The sequence below is a fragment of the Homo sapiens genome, chromosome 16, assembly GCF_000001405.40.
Source record: "Homo sapiens chromosome 16, GRCh38.p14 Primary Assembly".
Classification (NCBI taxonomy): Eukaryota; Metazoa; Chordata; class Mammalia; order Primates; family Hominidae; genus Homo; species Homo sapiens.
In genome coordinates this window covers 71,365,683-71,386,236 of record NC_000016.10, presented here as the reverse complement: position 1 = coordinate 71,386,236, position 20,554 = coordinate 71,365,683, and the positions used below count along the sequence as shown (strand labels likewise).

Sequence of the window (20,554 nt, the reverse complement as noted above, 5' to 3'; positions counted from 1 at the left end):
TGGGTAAACAAAATGTGGTATATTTATACGATGCAGCATTATTCAGCTTTAAAAAGGAAGGGAATTCTGACACATGCCACAACATGGATAAGCTTGCAAGGACATTATGCAAAGTGAAATAAGCCAGGCACAGAAAGATTATACTATTTTCTTTACATGAGGTACCTAGAGCAGTCAAATTTACAGAGGCAGAAAGTAGAGTGGTTGGCAGGAGATGGGGGACAGGGGAATGGAGAGTTATTTTTTAATGGGTACAGGTTTTGGCGCTGCAGGATGAGAAGGTGGCCACGCATGTGCAATATTATGAATATGTTCAATGCCACTGGACTGTACACTAAAAATGTGAAGATGGTAAGCTTTCTGTCCTGTGTTTTTTGCCACAATTAAATTTTAAAAAGAAACATCAATTAATCAACCAACCAACCAGAAATCAAAAAACCAAAAGCAAACCCACAAAATGTCTATTGCCTTGCTGTGGCAGATCAGAGGGGAGTAGAGAGCAGGACCAGGCACCTTTCCCCTCCTCTCCTGCAGAAGCCTCTCCTGTGCCCTGGGGACAGTGGCCGGGCCTCAGGCTTGGCTGCTCACCTTTTTGTTTTTCTCGTACAGATCCTTCAAAAGGGCATCCAGCTCATGCTCGTCAATGTAGCCGCTTCTATCCTGGGGATGGGAGCAGAGTCAACCCAGAGCTCTAAAGCCTGGGCCCCTGCTGTCCCGACCCATTCCAGGGATGTCTAAGAGTCTAGCCTCTCCATTACTCTGTGCAAAAGGGGGTGTTCAGATCGTGTAATGACAAAATAATGTGTCCCTTCTGCCTTAACCAGTCATGGCAGGAAGGTGGCAGTGGGTGCAAGCTTTGGGTAGCCTTTCATTGTGGTGCTTTTCATGTGCGTTGAAAATTTAAGTGAGATTCAAGAAGCATTTGGTTAACTCCCTGAGTCCGGGGGCTATTTAAAGTTTACCTCCAACACTGGTTATGAAGAAAACCACCGGAGTCATGTGGGCAGGGGACAGCCCAGGGAGGGGTGGGTATGGAGATCATCTAACTTCCAACTTCCCAGAGAAAGACTTGGCCCTGGGCAGAATTGTGATCTGGCACCAGGGCAGTTCTGAGTGTCTCTTCCCTTTGGCTCCCGACAGCGTGGTCACACCCTAGTTCTAAGCATAGTCCTCCCCCAACGATTCTCGGCTGCACTCTGCAGAAACCAACCCCTTGGGCTCCATAGGCCACCGGTGGAGAATGACATTTGCCTTCTCATACAGCAGAAGATGCGGCAGGAAGAAACCACACGGCCCAGGCCACCCCTGGAAAGCTGTCTCTTCCCAGGGATGAAGCTGAGCCCTTCTGGACGGGCTGATGGGCTTCTGATTTTCCCTGCCATGCCAACTCCCTCTCTTACCTTGTCGTAAAATGTGAAGATCGCGTTAAACTCCTCTGAGGTCAGCTTCATGCCCTGCAAGAACCAGGGTATTAAAGACAGAAGCAGAAGCGCAGTGGTGTGTGTGTGGGTGTGCGTTTGTGTGTGTGTGTTTATGTGTGTGGTGTGTGCATGTGTGATGTGTGTGTTGTGTGTGTGGTGTGTGGTCTGTGTGGTGTGTGTGATGTCTCTGTGTATGTGGGGTGTGTGCGTGTGATATGTAGTGTGTGTGGTCTGCGTGTGTTGTGTATGTGGTGTGTGTGGTCTGTGTGTGTTTTGTGTGTGTGATCTGTGTGTGTTGTGTGTGTGGTGTGTTTTGTGTGTGTGTGGTGTGTGTGGGTGTGTGTAGTGTGTTGTGTGTGGTGCGTTGGGGGAAGGAGGGTGCAGGGCCAGGCTCAGAGGGATGAGGGAAGGGGGAAGGAAGGAAAGCAAAGTTTTACCTGAAATTTAAGCAGGAAGTTTTCCTGGACAGGCAGGAGTCTGGGGAGAAAATGTTAGAGCAGAGATGAGGAGACTGCACAGGCAAGGGCAAGCGGGAGAGGGGAAGGCAGAGGCGGTGCCTGCAGTTACAGAAATGATTTCTGAGCACTTCACACATAATGAATCAGTGGGAAGTTCAAAAACGAGGGAGACAGACAAGGTGAGGTGTTGACGGTCACAATTCTATCTTGCTTTGTCTTGAGCTTCTTGACACCCGCACCTGTCACTTTCCCACCAATGGATCTCAGAGACGGATAACACAGGAATGACCTGTGGGAGCCAGTATCAGTGACCCCGGGGGTGAGGTGCTTACCGGGACATCTCTGAGAGGCCCAATTTGCCATCCCCGTTCAAGTCAAACATCCGTAGCTGTTGGGGACAGAAAGGTGCCTGGGTTATTTGCTGTGAATTTCTCTGACCTGACATCCCCTTTTACTGGAGAGGATGGGAAGGAGGACGGGTGACACGTGCTCATGCTTCCTCTGAGGTCCGTAGGGGCCAAGAACCAACATGGGCTAAATCAGTCACGGGGGTCCCCTGGGTGGACCACAGGGACTCGTTCACTGCTCCTCTCTCCCCTCCTCAGGGACAGGGGCAGCTGAGGCACAGCAGGCCGGCACTAAAGGCCCACTCTCTCCAAGATCATCCTCTCCTAGAGCTGCAGAGGTTGCCATGGAGACAGACAATCACATTGGCCCACGAGTCAGCTCACACCCAGGACCTCAAAGGGTATGTGAAGCCACGAAGTAGCATCCCTTTTTGCCAGCTGCCACTGTGAATCACTTCCCTTGGGCCTGAAGAATCAGCAAACAAGGGACCCTGCACACCAGAGCCCAAGTGGCTTGGGGCACAAGTCCTGCACCCTGGGGGAGAGGGACACTTCTGTTCACTCACTATGGTTTGGGTGTATTCCTGGAGCTTGGGCTCATCGTACGGCCGGTTCGCCTTCTTCAGCAGGTCTGACAGGAATCCCTGCAACACAAAAGGCCTCTTTAGTACTCCTGACTCGTGCATTCGGTCCCTCATTCATTTCCTTACTTGCTCATTCAGACAGTCTCTCAATGTGTGTGTGTGTGTTTTTCAGGTCTACCAGTTCTATGACTCAGGGCCCTCATAATTCCTAACTCTTGGGGAGTGACTTTTAAGGCTGTACTAGCTGGTGGTGCAACCCTGCCTCACAGAATAGGCGCTAGAGATTGGCTCTGCCTCCTGGGAGACCAGTATACGGAGCTAAGCAGTGCCTGGGGAATCACTGGGTGATAGCCAGAGGAATTTGGAGGTGGACCTAGGAGCCAGAGGCCAATCTTCTGGAATTGCCTGGAGGACTCCTGTCCCGAGCATGGAGGTGCAGAAGAGCTGGGTTTCGTTGAAATCTACAGCCTGGCAGCTCTATGTTACTGATTTCCCCTGACTTCTCTAAACAAGTCCAACAATTCAGTGCCAGGTCTGAGTATTCCTAAGCAGCCCGCAAACTCATGCCCCTCATCCAACATCTCCTCCCTCCTCAGGCACCTTAAGCCCACCGCCACTCTGGCCTCACACCCTCCCCAAGGCCCATCCTACCTTGAGCTCATTGGCTTCGATGTAGCCACTCCTGTCTGTGTCGTACTTCCGCCAAGCCTGCAACAACAGGAATGTCAACCTCTTTGCAAAGACGTATCAAAATCTACCCACCTCCCTTCCATTCCCCTTTAATGGGCCACCCAGGGTCTTGATCTTCAAGAATATCGGAATGGGATGGAGACATGGAGATGATGTAGCCCAGACCCTTCAAGGTCACAGAGAAGGAAATGAAGGGAAGTATCTCGACAGTGATCTCATGAGCGCCTGGGCCAGAACCACGCAGCTAAGCTGTTTCCAAATTCTTGACCATCGAAAGTGGGATGTAATCAATGTTTGTTGCTTCAGGCTGCTAAGTTTTAGGGGCAGTTTATTATACAGCAATAAGTAACTCATCCAATGGTCCTGTATACAACTGCTCTGACTTCCCTGCCTTTTACCACATCATCTGGTGGAGAAGAGAGAAAGCCACAGGAGGGGCAGTGGTGCAGGGGAGGGGACTGCCCACATCTGGGGCAAAGATGCCCGGAGAACCATGTTCCGCTATATCTTTGGTCTATTTGGCGCCACATATTTCTAATTTTTTTTTCTTTTTTCTTTCGTTCCTTCCTTCCTTTATTTTCTTTCCTTCCTTCCTTCTTTCCTTCCTTCCTTTTTCTTCCTTTCTTCCCTTCCTTCCTTCCTTTCTCTTTCTTTCTTCCTCCCCCTCCCCCTCCCCCTCTCCTCCTCCTCCTACTCCTCCTCCTCCTCCTCCTCCTCCTCTTTTGAGACAGGGTCTCACTCTGTCACCCAGGCTGTGGTGCAGTGGCGTCCAAAGCTTACTGTAGCCTCTACCTCCCAAGCTCAAGTGATCCTCCCAGCTTAACCTCCCAAGTGCCTCGGACTACAGGCGTGCACCACCACACGCAACTAATTTTTTATTTTTTTGTAGAGATGGGGTCTCACTATGTTGCCCAGACTGATCTCCAAACTCCTGAGTTCAAGTGATCCTCCTACCTCAGCCTCCCATAGTGCTGGGATTACAGGCATGAGCCACCATGCCTGGCTCCTAGATTTTCTTTCAAGTTTTGTTCTCCTGACTTTTCTTCGCTTCTCCCCCAGCTCCAAACTACACACCTGAAGACCAGCAACACTTGATTTTCTGGGAGCCAGCAACCACTAATCCTTTTCCTACATCTTATCCCCTGCCTCCCCCCACTTCTCCACTGCATGTGCCCCTTTATTGTCAGGAGTGTTAGAGTTTATGGACATTTAGAGTTTAGTTATATTTTACGGAAAATGTCTCTTTTTAAACACCAGCAAACAATGTTATGTAATTTTCATGGTGACAGGGCTCAGAAATTTTGGTCCTGATTTTTTTTTTTTTTTTGTCACAAGACAGGAGCAAATCCCAAGAAAAGGGTAGATTTGTACTATATGCAACTTAGGTCGATGGTATTTGATTACAAGAGTGTCTTTTCTCTGCAGAAAAATGCCTTAGACTCTTTGAAATACTCCTTCCCATAGCCAGAAAGTCTGCCCTTGAAAAGGCACTAAAATATATGTGAGGATTTCCAAATATGACTTCACCAACAACTCGCAGGCACTTAGTGCATTACAGTTTAGTTTGTCTAAGTTGAGTCTTTACTGAGAAGAGGAAGACACCCCCTCCAAGTTGCCTAAAAGGGCAATAACCTGAAGGAACCCCAGTCCCTGCACAGAGCAAAGCACCAGCGGCTGCTTTCCCAAGCCATCTTGCCAGCGGGTCCACTTCCGACCATGCACCCCGCCAGGATGCCAGCTCTGGGCTCCCCCACGTGCCTCCTCTCCCCATCCAGCACTTGTGCTCATCATCATCAGTGCATCCTTTCTCTTCTCATTCAAGGAAAAGAGTTCAAGAGACCTGGGCTTTGTGAAATCTCAAAGAAATCCTGAGGCATCACTAAAATTAGGAGTTGTTGTGCTGAGTGCTGGGATGGGAGCTACCTGAGAGCACAAGCCTTTCAGGGCTACTGAGGGACCATTTCAGGCTTCTGGCTGGTAAAAATGGAACAAATGGAACAGACCCCAGGAGGGGACAGTGGGACAGTACTGTGGGAGGGTGGGGTCCCAGAAACCGTGGCGGGCATGTCTCCTCTGCAGTTATGCTGGGACTTAGAAGGACAAATACATGTAAGAATATGAAATCCTGAGGCTGGGCATGGTGGCTCATGCCTGTAATCCCAGCACTTTGGGAGGCCAAGGTGGGCAGACCACCTGAGGTCGGGAGTTTGAGACCAGCCTGACCAGCATGGAGAAACCCCGTCTCTATTAAAAATACAAAATTCACCGGAAGTGGTGGTGCCTGCCTGTAATCCGAGCTCGGCGGGAGGCTGAGGCAGGAGAATCGCTTGAACCCGGGAGGCGGAGGTTGTAGTGAGCTGAGATCGCACCATTGCACTCCAGGCTGGGCAACGAGCGAAACTCCGTCTCAAAAAAAAAAAAAAAAAAAAAAAAAAAAAAAAAAAGAAAAGGAAGGAAAGAAGAAAGAAAGAAAAGAAAGAAATCCTGTCAGCTGCACAGAGAGAAGCCACTAATGATTTTGAGAAAGAGAAAAGGGTCCGGGGAGATGCTTTTAGCTCCTCTGTAAGCATCCCTGCCCCCCCTACAAGGTGCCACCATCCCTGTTTCCAGACCAGAGGTGGAATAGAGGCCAATTTTTGGCTGTCTCTCTATCAGGAAAGGAGTCAGGCATGATGCTCCCTTTTCTATAGTTGGAAAACTTGATACAAAAGCAACACCCTGACAAGTTATAAGGATACGCAGAACTTTTTTTCTCCCAGGCAGGCTAGAGAAGGACTAAGAACAGAAGCTAGAATGTCAATTATCAGCTTGTGGAATCTTGCCATCTTGAAAAAACTGGAGAAAAATCTTTTAAGGCACCATAAAATTAAATCCATCTCTGATGCTCAGGCAAGCTGTCACTTAAAAAATGACTGTTCCACCCTGAGAACTGGTTCTTTCTCACTGACTGTCTGCCCAGGAGGGGAGCTTGCTGCCACACAGGCTTCTGGGCCAGCTCTCCAGTTGTTACAGGCAGTGGATCACAGAGAGGGGATTACCGGTGGCTGGAAATGGATTTAACCCCAATGAATGGCAGAGAGTCACGTCGAAGGCCAGTTATTATTTATCAGAGCAGGCAGTTCGTGAGGTGGGTATGGGTTGAATTTCACTCTGAGGGATGCATATGCTGAATGGTTAGAGTGTGGAGTCCCAGAAAGAGAGCAAGAAATAATTGGTAGTTTGCTGGACATCAGGATTAGTAATATATTTGGTTGAACCACATAGAATTTCCACTTTTTGTAAGTAAAAAATCGTTAAATATCAGCAATTTCATATGGTTCAATTTATCAGATGAATATTACTCAAGAGACATGAATTTGAACATCATATTTTACATGAAGATCTCAAGGAAATTATATTGCCAAGAGGGGAATGCTAATTTTATTTATTTATTTATTTATTTATTTATTTATTTATTTATTTATTAGACAGAGTCTTTGTCGCCCAGGCTGGAGTGCAGTGGCACGATCTTGGCTCACTGCAACCTCTGCCTGCCTGGTTCAAGCGATTCTCCTGCCTCAGCCTCCTGAGTAGCTGGGATTACAGGCATGCACCACCATGCCCAGCTAATTTTTGCATCTGTAGTAAAGATGGGGTTTTTCCATGTTGCCCAGGCTGGCCTCAAACTCCTGATCTCAAGTGATCCACCTGCCTTGGCCTCCCAAAGTGCTGGGATTACAGGCATAGGGCACAGTGACCAGCCAGGAATGCTAATTTTAAAAAGGAAAACCGAAACCTTATCATAGTCAAAGATGAAACGTGGAAGATACCAAAAACTGGAATCCTCACTGGACTTTTGTAGCTATAGAATCGTACATAAGTCCATCCTTCTCTAGCCTGCTTCTTGGAACTCTGACTTCGAGAGACACAACATTATTATTGAGTGGCATGAGATCCTGGAGCCAAACTGAGTGGCACGGTTTTCTTTATTGCTTGATTTCTCAGAGCCTGTGATATGCAAATGACCACAACAAATCCCCACATGAGAGATGCATGTACACAGTGTTTCCCAAGCGTACTTGACCCAAGCTTACTTCTCATCTTATTCCCTACATTTTAATGTGCATACACATCATCTGGGGATCTTGTTAAAATGGAGCTTCTGAGTCACTGGATCAGGGAGTCTGTCTACCTTTTTTTTGTTTTTGTTTTTAATTTGAGATAGGGTCTTGCTCTGTGGCCCAGCCTGGAGGGCAGTGGTGTGATCTTCAGCCTCAAACTCCTGATCTTCCTGCCTTAGCCTTCCTGAGAAGCTGGGACTACAGGTGTGCACCACCATATCCCACTAAGTTTTTTATCTTTTTTTTTTTTTTTAAATTCCTGTTCACTATGGTAGCTTTTTATTTTTGTAGAGACAAGGTCTCACTATGTTGCCCAGGCTGGTCTTGAAACCCTGGCCTCAAAAGATCCTCCTGCCTTAGCCTCCTTGAGTAGGGATTACAGGCCTTTCTCCCTTTCTTTCTTTCTTTTTTTGAGACGGAGTCTCTCTCTGTCACCCAAGCTGAGAGTGCAGTGGTGCTATGTCGGCTCACTGCAACCTCTGCCTCTCGAGTTCAAGTGATTCTCCTGCCTCAGCTTCCCGAATAGCTGGGATTACAGGTGCCCGCCACCACGCCAGGCTAACTTTTTTGTATTTTGGTAGAGATGGGGTTTTGCCATGTTGGCCAGGCTGGTCTCGAACCCCTGACCTCAGGTGATCCGCCTGCCTCGGCCTCCCAAAGTGCTGGGGTTACAAGGCGTGAGCCACCACTCCTGGCCCCTTTCTGTTTTCTAACAGGCACCCAGGTGATACTGATGCTGCCGGTCCACGGACCACACTTTGAGTAGCAGAGCTCTAAGGGGTTTAGCATCTCCCAGGGACCATTACCAGGCAGGAGGGTGGGCCTGGCTCTGAACACAGGAGGAAGGCAGGTCCCAGTGCTTAGAAAGAAGGTGGTGCCTTGGCCTCACCTCCATAAACTCGGCGCTGGAGCCCACGTGCTGCCTGAAGCACAGAAGGAAGTTCTCTTCGGTTGGCAGGATCTGCGCCAGCTGTGAAGATACAGAGAGCGACACTAACGTTATGGAGGGACTTGACAGGGAGCAGAGCAGATTTTCCCCTAAGAAGGATGGAAAGGGCCAGTGGCGAGGCAGTGTGGGAATTGCGTTTTCTTCCTTCCTTCCTTGAGAACGGGTGCTGGCAGTCCTTCAAAGGGAAAGAAGGATGTTCAGAGAAGTGCTTTTGAGTCGTCCCAACCTTAAGGGATGAGCAATTGGAGGGGAAAAAGTGGTGCTGCTTTAAAATGCAAGCACCCAGACTCAAAAGAATACTTAACAGATGATTCCATGTATGTAAAATTCTGAAAAATGCAAACTAATCTAAGTAGATGGGTGGTTGCCTGGGGTAAGAGGGCCTGCACCAGGCTAGAGGAACCTTTTGGAGGGGGTAATAGAAAAGCTATATTTCCATTGGGGTGGCAATTTCATGGCCTAAAATCTAAACTCAAGGAATTTTACACTTCAAATGGATGCAGTTATTGCATGTAAATTGATACTGCAATAATTCGATTTTTGAAAAATGCAGGTACCCTCTTGCAGTAAGCACTGCTGGCTGCCCACCCAACCGCCCTTACCCCCTTTTTTGCTCCTGGAACTCTTGTGTCACAGGCCAATCCTGATGAGTCTACGTTGGTGAAGTGTGAGCCTCCCATTCTCCTTGCCAGTGATTGGCTTACAGGTAGGCACGTGACCCAGTTTTGCCCAATGCAATGTCGGGGAAGGGCTGCTGTGGGTACTTCTGGGAACATTTCCTTGCACTTAAGAGGGGTCCTTTCTGCAGCTGGACAGTGGTTGTATATGGATGTATGTAGTTGGATATGGTTGTATTTGGGTGCATGTGGTTGTATGTGGATGTTTGTGGGTGTATGTGGGTGCATGTGGTTGCATGTAGATATATGTGGTTGTATGGGGGTGTGTGTGGTTGAATGTGGATGTATGTGGTTGTATGTGGGTGCATGTGGTTGTATGTGAATGTATGTGGTTGTATGTGGGTGTATATGGCTGTATGTGGGCACATGTGGTTGCATGTGGGTGCATGTGGATGGATGTGGGTACATGTGATTGGATGTGGATGTATGTGGGTGCATGTAGATGTATGTGGGTGTGTGTGGTTGAATGTGGATGCATGTGGTTGTATGTGGATGTATGTGGGTATATGTGGATGTATGTGGATGCATGTGGGTGTATGTGGATGTGATGCCTGGCGCTGTGGCAGCCATCTTGCTAGCCGCCTGAGGATGAAGGTATTTTGAGGGCAGAGAACAGAACCAAGAGAACTGCAGGGAGGCAGAGCGGGAGCCCTGGCTTCCACCTGGAACAAACCCTAACCCTGGCCTTTCTGTTAGAAGCCTCTCATGGTAAGCTATGGCCCTCAGGCCAAGTATGGCTCAGGAGTTGTTTGTAAAGTTTTATAAGACGTGGCCACACCCACTCATTGACATACCACCCGTGGCTGCTTTTGTGCTACAGTGGCAGAGCTGAAGAGCTGTGGCAGAGACTGGATGGCCCACAAACCCTAACACACTTACCTTAATCTGTATTTTTAGAGAAAAAGCCTGTCAACCCTTGGTTTAAGCCCCTTTGAATCAGCATGGGCATCTATAGTGGCCATTCTTGGTGCCTCTCCCTGCTCCTCTATAACTAGGCTGTTGGCCATCCCTCAGCTGCTATGAAGTCAGACTGCTAACAGCTCAGCCCTGCCCCTGCACAAGAACTGCCCTCAGCCAGACCAGAGCTGCCCCGCTGGGGAAGTTCCACAGGTCCCCTCCTTGCCCAAAGAGGGGCAGCCTGCATCCACTGACTGATTGACACAGGGGTACAACAGACCAGCCCCCTTGCCTCAAAGTGGGACCCACTCTGTGGCACAGTCCACACTCCAGAGTCCCTATAAGCCTAGCCAAGGCGAGGCTCCAGTTGAGACCGCATCCTTGCACAGCACTATCCCCTGCCTTTTCCTGCTGCCCTTCTCTGGAGAGTTCTGCCTCAGTAAGCCACTTCCACTCAAATCTCTGTCTCAGGCACCCAACCTAAGGCAGCATCCCAACAATATACCCTGGGTGGAGCTGTGCCCTAATGCCTGTGCCACCATCATCATTCTTATTTATTTATTTATATGGTTTGTAAAGATGGGGTTTTGTTATATTGCCCAGGCTGGTCTCAAACTCCTGACCTCAAGGATCCTCCGCCTCAGCCTCCCAAAGTGCTGGGATTACAGACATGGGCCACGGAGTCCGGCCAGCACTCTTGAGCCCTTGACTGTGGTCACTGATTACCAGAGGTGTTTGACATGCACCTGTATATGAGTATGTGTGAGTGTATGTGTGTATGTGTATATACGTGTGCATATATGAATGTATATATGTATACATGGATACGTGTAAATTATGTTATATGCAAATTATGTATATATATGTAAATTACTGATGTGAATTATAAATGTATATATGTGTGTAAATTATGTATATAACTTTTAAAAATTATGCCTTTGGATGGCTTTAGGTGGGGCATAGAGTCTCCTGTTCACCTGTCTTCAGCCTCCCTAGTGTCTTCAGCTGGCCTTGCCACTTGGTTACAATACCTGTTGGCCCCTGTGGGCATTTAAGGTCTCCACCCCTATCTTTGGCCATTGTTTGTCACTTCCTTCTTCCTTGGGTGACACACAAGAAAAGTCCCTGCTGTTCTCTTTGGTCAGCCCAAGTGCTGGGGGTGCAGGAGCTTTGAGGCCCCCACCTCACTCCAATCCTCAGCAGGATGCTCATGCCTGGGAGAGGCACAGGGACCCAGGGCCCCTCCCACACAGCTCTTTACCAGCGAGGCAGGGCTCACCTCTGCCATCTCGATTTTCCCATCTGAGTTTTTATCATACTTCTGCATGAACTCCTTCATCTTTTCTCCAAAGTTGTCACTCTTTGACATCTGTGGAAAGACAAAGGGGGCTGATTTTTGCTGCTGTATCTCATGTGAACCATGATCTCAGAGCAGGAAGCTTGGAAATCATTTGCATCCTGGGTAAGTGGGTGCAGAACCAAGTTGTGCTGATGCTCTGATTGATCAGAGCTGTGTTGTTTTCCTTTCCAGGTTCCCTTCAAATTAAGTCATCTCTTCTTCAAGGCTCAGTCATATAAATTTCAAAGGACACGTGGCCATGCTCCATACCAGGTAATCAAACATGCCCTGCTGCCTTTGAGATGGATTAAGCTACAACTCTATAGGAAGGGTTTGGACTTGTTCCCATCACTCAGATGTGAGAATTAAGGCCTCAACATTTTACTGAAGCAGGTTGTAATCAAACTGAACTTAATCCAGTGCCCCCTAATAGGTTCTAAGCACTTCATTACAGCAAGGTAGATTGCTCATTTTCTTTAAAGACTAACTGGCAATTCCACAATATTTTCACTCTTGATTTTCATATCAGGAGGAACATGAGGAGGAGGTCATCATGTAGCCGAAGGGTAATTTAAACAGTCCACCCAATTATTCTGACTACTAGAAAGCAAAGAACTTAAAACATTCCTTCAAGCCCACAGCTGTCTATCTTAAATATAGACTTGAAGCTCTTGAACCTTCCCCTGATTTGAGATAGTGCTGATTAATTATTTGCATTAAGGAGCTCTTCCTTCTCCCTAATCAATGATGAGCCCACCTTGCACGGCTGATGTTTCTGCCTCACTCAGCTGATGACTTCCACATGAATTGTGTGCTCCCCAGGATTGGGCCAAGGGAAATCCTACCACTTCTGAGAGTTTCCTGAATCCCTCTGATTGCTTTTTACTTTTGGAATTAGTATCAATTTGTCAATATTTATTTGTTTATCAGTATTTATTTATATTTACAAAGGTACATAGTCTGATCCCAGGCACTTGTCACAAATGTGGCCATCTTATTTAAGTTGTACAGTAGCTCCTGTGAAGTTAGTAGCCCTTCCATTTGACACACTAATGGAGGCCGAGATGACTTCTCTAGAGGGCACCCAGTAAGTAAAGCCAGAATTTGAACTCATGGCTTTTGCTTCCAAGGCCAATATTCTTTCTACTATATAACAGCTGCTCTGAGAACCAGTCCTGGATGGCATCAGTTGGGATTGTTGACAGACTTGAAAATTACCCGGATGACATCTGAGGAAGGGAATGACTAAGAGAAGGATTCTAGATGCAAAGCACTTCATAAAAACACATTTCTCCGACTAGCCCATGATCCCAGAGTCAGTCCTGAAGCCCATGCTTTCTGTGATCGAGGCTTCATTATCCTAGGAATTGATGGGACAACTGTTGATAAACAAACCCATGAATCGCCTCCAACCCTTTAAGCCCATCACTTTGACCTCCTCATTGGGGCGCTCTGCCAAGCTTTGAACCAGGAGCTCACCGGTGGATTTGTGACTCATCTCCCAAATGCTCCCTGAAGAGCTGCAAATAAACAGTGGATTGGCCAACAGACACGCAGCAGGGGAGAGTAGAGACGCCTCCAGAGGACCCGAGGGAGCTGATGGGAGGGTGTGGGGCTGACTCCATGTACTCCAGAACCAGACACGGCAATCACAGCAGACTAGTTCCAATCACCTGAGCTTTGCAGTATTTCAAATACCTCCCCCAAAAGGCTTTAGCAAACTCAGTAGTGCCACGTTGGCACCAGGGAAAGCAACACTCCTGTCACTAAGGGGCTGGGATGTGATCTGGAGTCACTTTGGGCAGGCTCAGAAGGTCGTGACACCACCACAAATGAGGCCAGCCAGTGCCGTCTGGTTCAGATACTGGCTGAGAGCAATCCTCAATTTTCCTCTAGTTCCTTGCTGGGGATTCTAGCCCGTGTTGCTCTAGAACAGTGGTTCTCTTCTGAGGACGATTCTGCCCCCAGTCTCCCACCAGGGGGACATTTGGCAATGTTTGGAGACATTTTTGATGGTCACAGCTTGAAGGAGGATGATAGTGGCATCTCATGGGTAGATCCCGGGATGCTGCTAGTCTCCTACAGCGCACAGGGCAGCCCCTGCAACAAATTATTCAGCCTCAAATGCCAACAGCGCTGAGGCTGAGAAACTCTGGTCTAGAATCAGGGCACTTGAAACCTCCTGGGCATCCAATCTGGAATCATGACCCCTAAGCACCTGAGGGAAGCTATGGACTCTGTCCCTAGGGACAAAAAAATACTACATATATATTAATATACGCATACGCAGACAAAGCTTTGCAGCTTTGCAGGAGGATTCATCAACCCCTGGTGTCCACTCATGAATACCCCTCAATCCCAGACACCCAAGGATATTGAGATAGGGTACTCTTAGGGGACAGTCTATTTTTTATCCTTACAAATAAAATGCTGTGTCAAGACCAGCGATATGAGGCCTGCTTATGGCATACATAACTGGGACACAGCATGCTCAAAGGCATAGGTCAGGAAAATCCCACACAATCGGAGACAGGGCTGGGCTTACCATGCCAGAGCCTTTCCTTGCCTTCTCCAGCTCTTGGAAAAAGTTTTCTAGCTCTTTACCTTCAATATACCCATTTCCTGTAAAAAGAGAGAGAAAAAATCAATCTCAGCACTAAATAGTAAGGGGGGCACGGGGTGGGCATGTCGGGGGCTTCGTGGAGAATGTCTTCTCCCAGCTGGCCAACAGGCAGGTGTCTAGGCCAGTGGAGCTAGGGGTGTGGGTCCAGCCCTCAGGGCATTTGCACCTAGAGATCCAAGATGAACAACATACATTCAGCAGCTAGAAAATACTGGGAGGAACTAGCACAGGGTCCGAGAGGACAGAGGAGAGCAGAAGTTGGCAGCTTCCGAATCTGTCCTTAATGTCTGGGCAAGCACGAGGTGGCAGAGGTGTGACAGGTCATCAGCAAGTGGCGGGACCTGGTCAGAGGCAGAACTGGGGTCCCTGGAGTTCAGAAGGTGTAGCGGGTTGGAGTGCTCCCCCAGAATGGGACCTTATTTGGAAACAGGGTCATTGCAGATGTCATTAGTTAAGATGAGTCATACTGGATTGGGGTGGGCCCTAAATCCAGTGGTCGGTGTCCTTGTAAGAAGGCTTCATGGAGACACAGAGACCCAGGAAGAAGACCATGTGAAGATGGAGGCAGAGGCCAGTGTGATGTGTGTACAAGCCAAGGAACGCTGTGGGCTGCCAGCAACCACTAGAAGCCAGGAGGGAGGCAGGGAGCAGATTCACCCTCAGAGCTCTAGCAGAGCCTGCCGACACATTTATTTCACACTTCTAGCCTCTAGAAATGTGAGAGAATACATTTCTGTTGTGTTAAGTCACCCAGTTTGTAGTGCCTTGCTATAACAGTCCTAGGAAACAAAAACAGAAGGGCCCAGAAAAGAGAGAACCACAGGGCATCTGTCCTATGGGATGTCACCTCCCACCCCCTGCCCTACCTGAGACTTGGTCACAGGGATCAAGGGTAGGAGAGGCATCCCACCTGGTAATGAAGAGAGGAGGCTCTGAGGCCTGTGGATGCAGATTTAAAGACTGGTTCTGCTGTGCTTACCAACAGTGTGACTTTGAGACAGTTATTGAACCCATCTCATCTGCAAAGTGGGTTATTATAATTAAACAGGATTTTGTGTGGAAAGCCCATCCTCTAGTCATTATGAGTGCAGCATAAATGTTGTTACTGAGTTCCATTACCAGAACCCGTGCCTAAGGTGGGAATGAATCTGTGGGAAAAGTGCAGTGATCAGAACCAGGTCCCGAGGTCACAGCCTGACTTGCGAGATCACATAAGTAGTGAGAGGTCCTTTAGGCTCTCACGCCTTGAGCCTGGATGGTCTACTAGAGACCAGGACTGAGCTGAATGCATGGTCAAGGTCACTGGTCAGTGCTGTGATGGGGAAGGAGGCATTTGTGGGTGGGAAATCAGGCAGGGCTCAGGCCGTGCCTCCTAGACTTTGCTGTGGCAAAGAATCTCCTGGGGATTTTTCCTTTTTTTTGAGACAGGGTCTTGCTGTGTTGCCCAGGCTAGAGTTCAGCACTATTCATAAGTGTGATCATAACATACTACCGCCCCAAAATCCTGGGCTCAAGTGATCCTCCTGCCTCAGCCTCCCAAGTAGCTGGGATTACAGGTACCTGGCACCCAGGGATCTTAAAAAAAATATGGATATCTGGCCCCCACCTCTAGACTTTCTGATGCAATTTGTTTGGGGTGTGAACTAAGCACCATGATTTTTTTTTTTTTAACACTCCCAGGTGATTTCCTGTGCAGCAAAGTTTGAAAACCACTGACCTAACATCAAGTTCCAAATTTGATCTAAAGCCCTTGAGCAAGATTCCCGTAGAGGAGATTCAACTCGAATGGGAAGGGAGGTGGTAGCTTTCACCAAGGGCAAATGGAATTACAAACGCAACAGAGAAAATAAAGGAGCATTTACCCCAGCCTCTGTGAGGGGTTGTGGGGGGAGGCTTTTCCCAGCCTCTCCTCCTAGGGCCCCCTGAGAATTTAAATTCTTAATAAACTTAGAGGCACTCTCGAGTGAAGAATATGCCACAATAAATATTGTATGGCACGAATCACATGAGATAAATTATGTATTTTTGTCTGCAGGGAAAAGACATGATTGCAATGGGCTCGCAGAATGAGATTTGAGTTCCCTTTTATCCTAGGATGGGGTGGTTATCTTCCTTCTAGGATGTTTGTAAAGCTTCTTAGGAGAACTGGAATTTCAGAAGAGTGTGGTTCCTGTGAGGCCGGCTAAAGTAGGGGAGTGAGGGACAGGGAGATGGGCTTTCTAGGCAAAAAGACATCGTCTAGTTGATGATGCTCTGAGTTGGAAGAATGAGTAATTTTTCTCTTCCTGGTTACTCCCTGCAGCGATCTGGCTATTCTCCTATCACTGAGGTGCAATTTCTTCTCAACTGAGAAGGCAAAGTCACATTCTTCTCGGAGGCTTTGTAGAGTCAGACGGGGAGGTGGAAAGCTGAGCTCAGCCCTGGGTGCATCTGCAGCTTCCAGAAGCCCGAGGCTAGGGCAGGAGGTGGGGGCTCAGAGCTGGCACCACGAGTGCGTGTCATGGTTCAGTGAAGCAGAGGCCACAGGAGCCAGGGCTGGGCGGACACAGGAGCGAGTATATGTTTCATGAGTGTATCGGGAGGTGGCTGAAAGGAACTGGGTAGGGGAAGCCCGCAGAGCAGCATGGTATGTTTCCAAGAGCCGCCTCCACTTAGCTCTGAACAGGGTCCGTCATCCCTCTGTGGAGCCCTGTTTTGCACCAGGTCCTTCATGTTCTGCCATTTCTTCTCTGGCCCCTTCACCTACCATTTGGGGGGCGGCAGAGTGACTGGCCTTTCTTGCTGAGGCACCGACACCTGGTTCTTCTCCTCCCTCTGTCGTACCCAGATTAGAGGACACCACCTCTGTGAACCTCAGTTTCTTCTCCTGTGAAATGGGGACAATGATAGCACCCTCCTCATGCAGCTGCCATGAAGATTAAAGAGGATAATAATACACTCGCAGCGCTGGCCTGCAGCGAGCCTCAAACATGCCGGCGGACACTGCCATTATGGCTGCTGTTTGTGCTTCCCGCCCATGCTGCAAACACCTTGGCCCTGGGCTGCTTTCTTCAGGTTGGAAAGATTTAGGGGAGCAGAGGGAGGCTAGAGCAGGCAAGGCTAGCACGGAGCCCCGCCCCACTGAACGCTCTGAACCCAAAGAAGTAAAGTACAGATCTCTAGGGGCCATCTTTTCCTTGGAGTTTTTCTGGAACTTAGAATAAGTATTTATTTTTACTCCATCTTTTTTTCTAGAAAGGTTTGAAGGAGGTTTAACAACCTCAAGAAACTCAGACAATCATCCAGTGCCTCGCCCAGCAGGAAAGTGCTGAAGGTCAGTGGAATGTCTTTAACTTTTCAAAGCGCTTTTGCCGTCTTTCTTTGCTCCAGCAGATAATTTGAGCCCTCACTATGGGTAAGACCTGTGTGGGTTGCTGTGGGGGAAATGAACCCACACATAATCTTTCCAGACACACGGGCATGGCAGAGTAGAATCCTTTTCTGGTGACAGAAGACACTGAGGCACAGGACACAGAAGGCAAGCAACTTGCTCAGGACCACACAGCCAGGGAGGACCAGAACGGAAGTGTCCTAATTCCTGATCCAGGCTTAATTCACTCATTCATTCATTTGAGGAATTTTTTTATTTTTATTTTATTTTATTTTTAGACAGGGTCTGCTCTGTCACTCAGGTTGGAGTGCAGTGGCTGGATCACGGCTCAGTGCAGCCTAATGTCCTGGGTTCAAGCCGTCCTCCCACCTCAGCCTCCCAAGTAGCTTGGACGACGGGCACATGCCTGAATAATTTTTTGTTTGTTTGTTTTTGGTAGAGACAGGGTTTTGCCATGTTGCCCAGGCTGGTCTTTAAATCCTCCACCTGTCTTGGCCTCCCAAAGTGCTGGGATTACAGGCGTGAGCCACCGTGCCTGGACCATTGGAGGAACCTTTATTGAGCATCTGCATTGTGCAGGCACTGGAGGTGCAAAGGCCAGCTAGGTCCTGCCATGGTGGGGCTTATGCTGTAATGGGGTGTGGGTGGGGCAGGGGACAGATAATAAGCAAGGAAATGAATTTAAACATGGTGTTTCCAGTGTCGAGAGCAATGAAAGAATGATGGTGTCATAGAGTAGAGATCGACTTCCAGGGCTTCTTGGAAAGGATGAGCAGGGAAGACCTCCCAAGAAGCCTCAGCCTCTGGGAAGGGGGCAGAGAAAGGAAGGAGGAAAACTGGAGGCAGGGAAAGGGGTCCAGGAGCTAGAAGGGCAGCCCTGTGGAGAGAAGCCGCCTCTCTGAATTCAGCTTGTGCAGCACAGGCAGCAGGAGGTTCCCGGGGCAGGAGGAACCCCCCTCCCCACACTAGGAATTCCACTACCTCCCTCTGGGCACCTCAACAAAAGGCAGAAATGTGGTTCAATGCAGTAAGCCTTGATGTTTTGAACTGAGCCACTGTTCCACTTTGTGCCTGGTGCTCAGGGAGCTATCACCAAGTTTTAGATGTGGGCCCATTTCCCAAGAGCATCAATGGTCAGCCTGGGAGAGGCAGGCAGACAGGCAGCTGATGGCAGACAGTGAGGAACACAGGAGAGATCGGCAGGTGGCGCTGCAGGGCCCAGAAGGGACACTCCACACCCAGCCCTCGATTGTGGATGGCAAATGGCCTTCGCTGCTCTGGCTTCCCTCAAAGCAACTCCCCATCCATCTGCAGGAAGCCCTTATCACTAGAGGCTGGGGTAGAGGAGGGGCTGGTGCACACCCTTCTAGGATGACATCGGCACTGAGTGAATGGTCTGATGTTTCTATGACCCTCTTGCAGCGGGTGGGGTGACTGGTCACCAAGCAAGGCTCATGCGGATGGGCATCGATAAAGACATCGATAAAGACGTGGTTACCATGGCAACCATCACTTCTAACTTCTTATCAAACCACATCCTGTGAACATGAGGGAGCAGAGCCGAAGTGAGAGCCAGAGACCCTGCATCCTTCCTTATTCTACTCTTGCTACCATTCCGCACCACTACCGTGCCTCAGTTTCCCCCAATTTAAAGTGAGACAATACTTCTTTACCTTTCATCTGACCACGGACACTTGGGAAGCCATGCCTAGAGGAGGCTTCACCCCTCAGTGAAAAGAGACCTCAGGGAGACCTTGTTCTCCCTGAGCCTTGTACATTCAGATTTTCTAGGAGTTGAACAGGTAAGAGGTACCTGAGTAAGAGGTATAATATTAATAATTCTACCGCCTGCTCTATGACTGTCCATGTGATGTTGGGCAAGTCAATCTCTCTGAGCCTCAGTTTCTTTATCTCTAAAATGGGCATAACTATTTATGCCCTCTCTACTTTACAGAGTTATGGTGAGAGCTGTACAAGGTAATGTTGTGGAAGCATTCTGAAAGATGTAAAATCTCACATAAATGGAAGGAACAAATATTGCCTTCCATTTATACTCCCTCCTCTTAAGTTCCTCTAAATCAATTTATAGATGAAAACCCGTTAGCCTGAAGAGTTCCAGCACCACTGCTTTCCTTAGAATACTGGTTCTCAAGCCAGGTGTGGTGGCTCACGCCTGTAATCCCAGCACTTTGGGAGGCTGAGGTAGGTGGACTGCTTGAGGCCAGGAGTTCAAGACCAGCCTGGCCAACATGGTGAAACCCCATCTCTACTAAAAATACAAAAATCAGCTGGGTGTGGTGGTGTGTGCCTGTAGTCCCAGCTACTTGGGAGGCTGAGGCACGAGAATTGCTTGAACCCAGGAGGCGGAGGTTGCAGTGAGGTGAGATTGTGCCACTGTACTCCAGCCTGGGTGACAAGGCGAGACTCTCTCTCTCTCAAAAAAAAAAAAAAAAAAAAGGCCAGGCACTGTGGCTCACGCCTGTAATCCCAGCACTTTGGGAGGCTGAGGTGGGTGGATCACAGATCAGGAGATTGAGACCATCCTGGCTAACACGGTGAAATCCCGTCTCTACTAAAAATACAAAAAATTAGCCGGGCGTGGTAGCGGGCACACGTAGTCCCATCTACTTGGGAGGCTGAGGCAGGAGAATGGCGTGAACCTGGGAGGTGGAGCTTGCAGTGAGCCAAGATCCTGCCACTGCACTCCAGCCTGGGTGACAGAGTGAGACTCCATCTCAAAAAAAAAAAAAAAAAAAAGAGAGAGAGAGGGAAGAAAACAAAGAAAGAAAGAAAAAAGAATACTGGTTCTCAGTTGAGGCTGTGTATTAGGATCACCTGGGAATATCTGAAAACAACATTGTTGCCTTGGCCCCATCCCCAGAATTTCTGATTTAATGGATGGGGGGAAGGGGGTGTTTTCAAAGCTCTGCAGGTGATTCTAAAGCTCAGAACAGTAAAGGCTTGGAACCGCTTCAGAGCAGCATGTCTCAAACTTTAGGGTACATAAAAAGTACCGTAATAATCTCCACTTATTAAAGTGGAGATCCTAATTCAGTAGGATTGGAGCATAACGCCGTGCTGTTCAAAGTGCAGTCTGTG

At 48.5% G+C, this 20,554-nt stretch overlaps 1 protein-coding gene and 1 long non-coding RNA gene across 4 annotated transcripts in view, besides 1 other annotated feature; one reads left to right on the top strand and one right to left on the bottom strand.

Annotated features, from left to right (window-relative positions):
• The window catches only part of CALB2 (calbindin 2), a 31,711-nt gene that overhangs the window by 4,197 nt on the left and 6,960 nt on the right, over positions 1–20,554 (bottom strand). The window contains exons 2-10 of one of the 3 annotated variants that reach the window (NM_001740.5): positions 14,008–14,084; positions 11,403–11,492; positions 8,490–8,570; positions 3,462–3,518; positions 2,793–2,870; positions 2,212–2,267; positions 1,859–1,898; positions 1,401–1,454; positions 589–660 (exon numbers count right to left, since the gene is read on the bottom strand). In NM_001740.5, the coding sequence (NP_001731.2) occupies positions 589–660; positions 1,401–1,454; positions 1,859–1,898; positions 2,212–2,267; positions 2,793–2,870; positions 3,462–3,518; positions 8,490–8,570; positions 11,403–11,492; positions 14,008–14,084 (605 nt within the window). The remainder of the gene's footprint in view (positions 1–588; positions 661–1,400; positions 1,455–1,858; positions 1,899–2,211; positions 2,268–2,792; positions 2,871–3,461; positions 3,519–8,489; positions 8,571–11,402; positions 11,493–14,007; positions 14,085–20,554) is intronic. The other 2 variants (NR_027910.3, NM_007088.4) reach the window with 2 other exon arrangements.
• Positions 2,404–18,988, top strand: LOC105371332 (uncharacterized). Its single transcript, XR_933714.3, has 5 exons — positions 2,404–2,627; positions 9,103–9,255; positions 11,655–11,735; positions 17,320–17,398; positions 18,878–18,988. It is a non-coding gene; the product is annotated as an uncharacterized LOC105371332 (long non-coding RNA).
• Positions 18,597–18,891: an enhancer, noted in NCBI's record as "tiled region #5468; K562 Activating DNase matched - State 12:CtcfO". NCBI's record gives its function as "activates a minimal TATA promoter and a strong SV40 promoter by Sharpr-MPRA in K562 cells {active_cell/tissue: K562}" and the evidence as "EXISTENCE:reporter gene assay evidence [ECO:0000049][PMID:27701403]".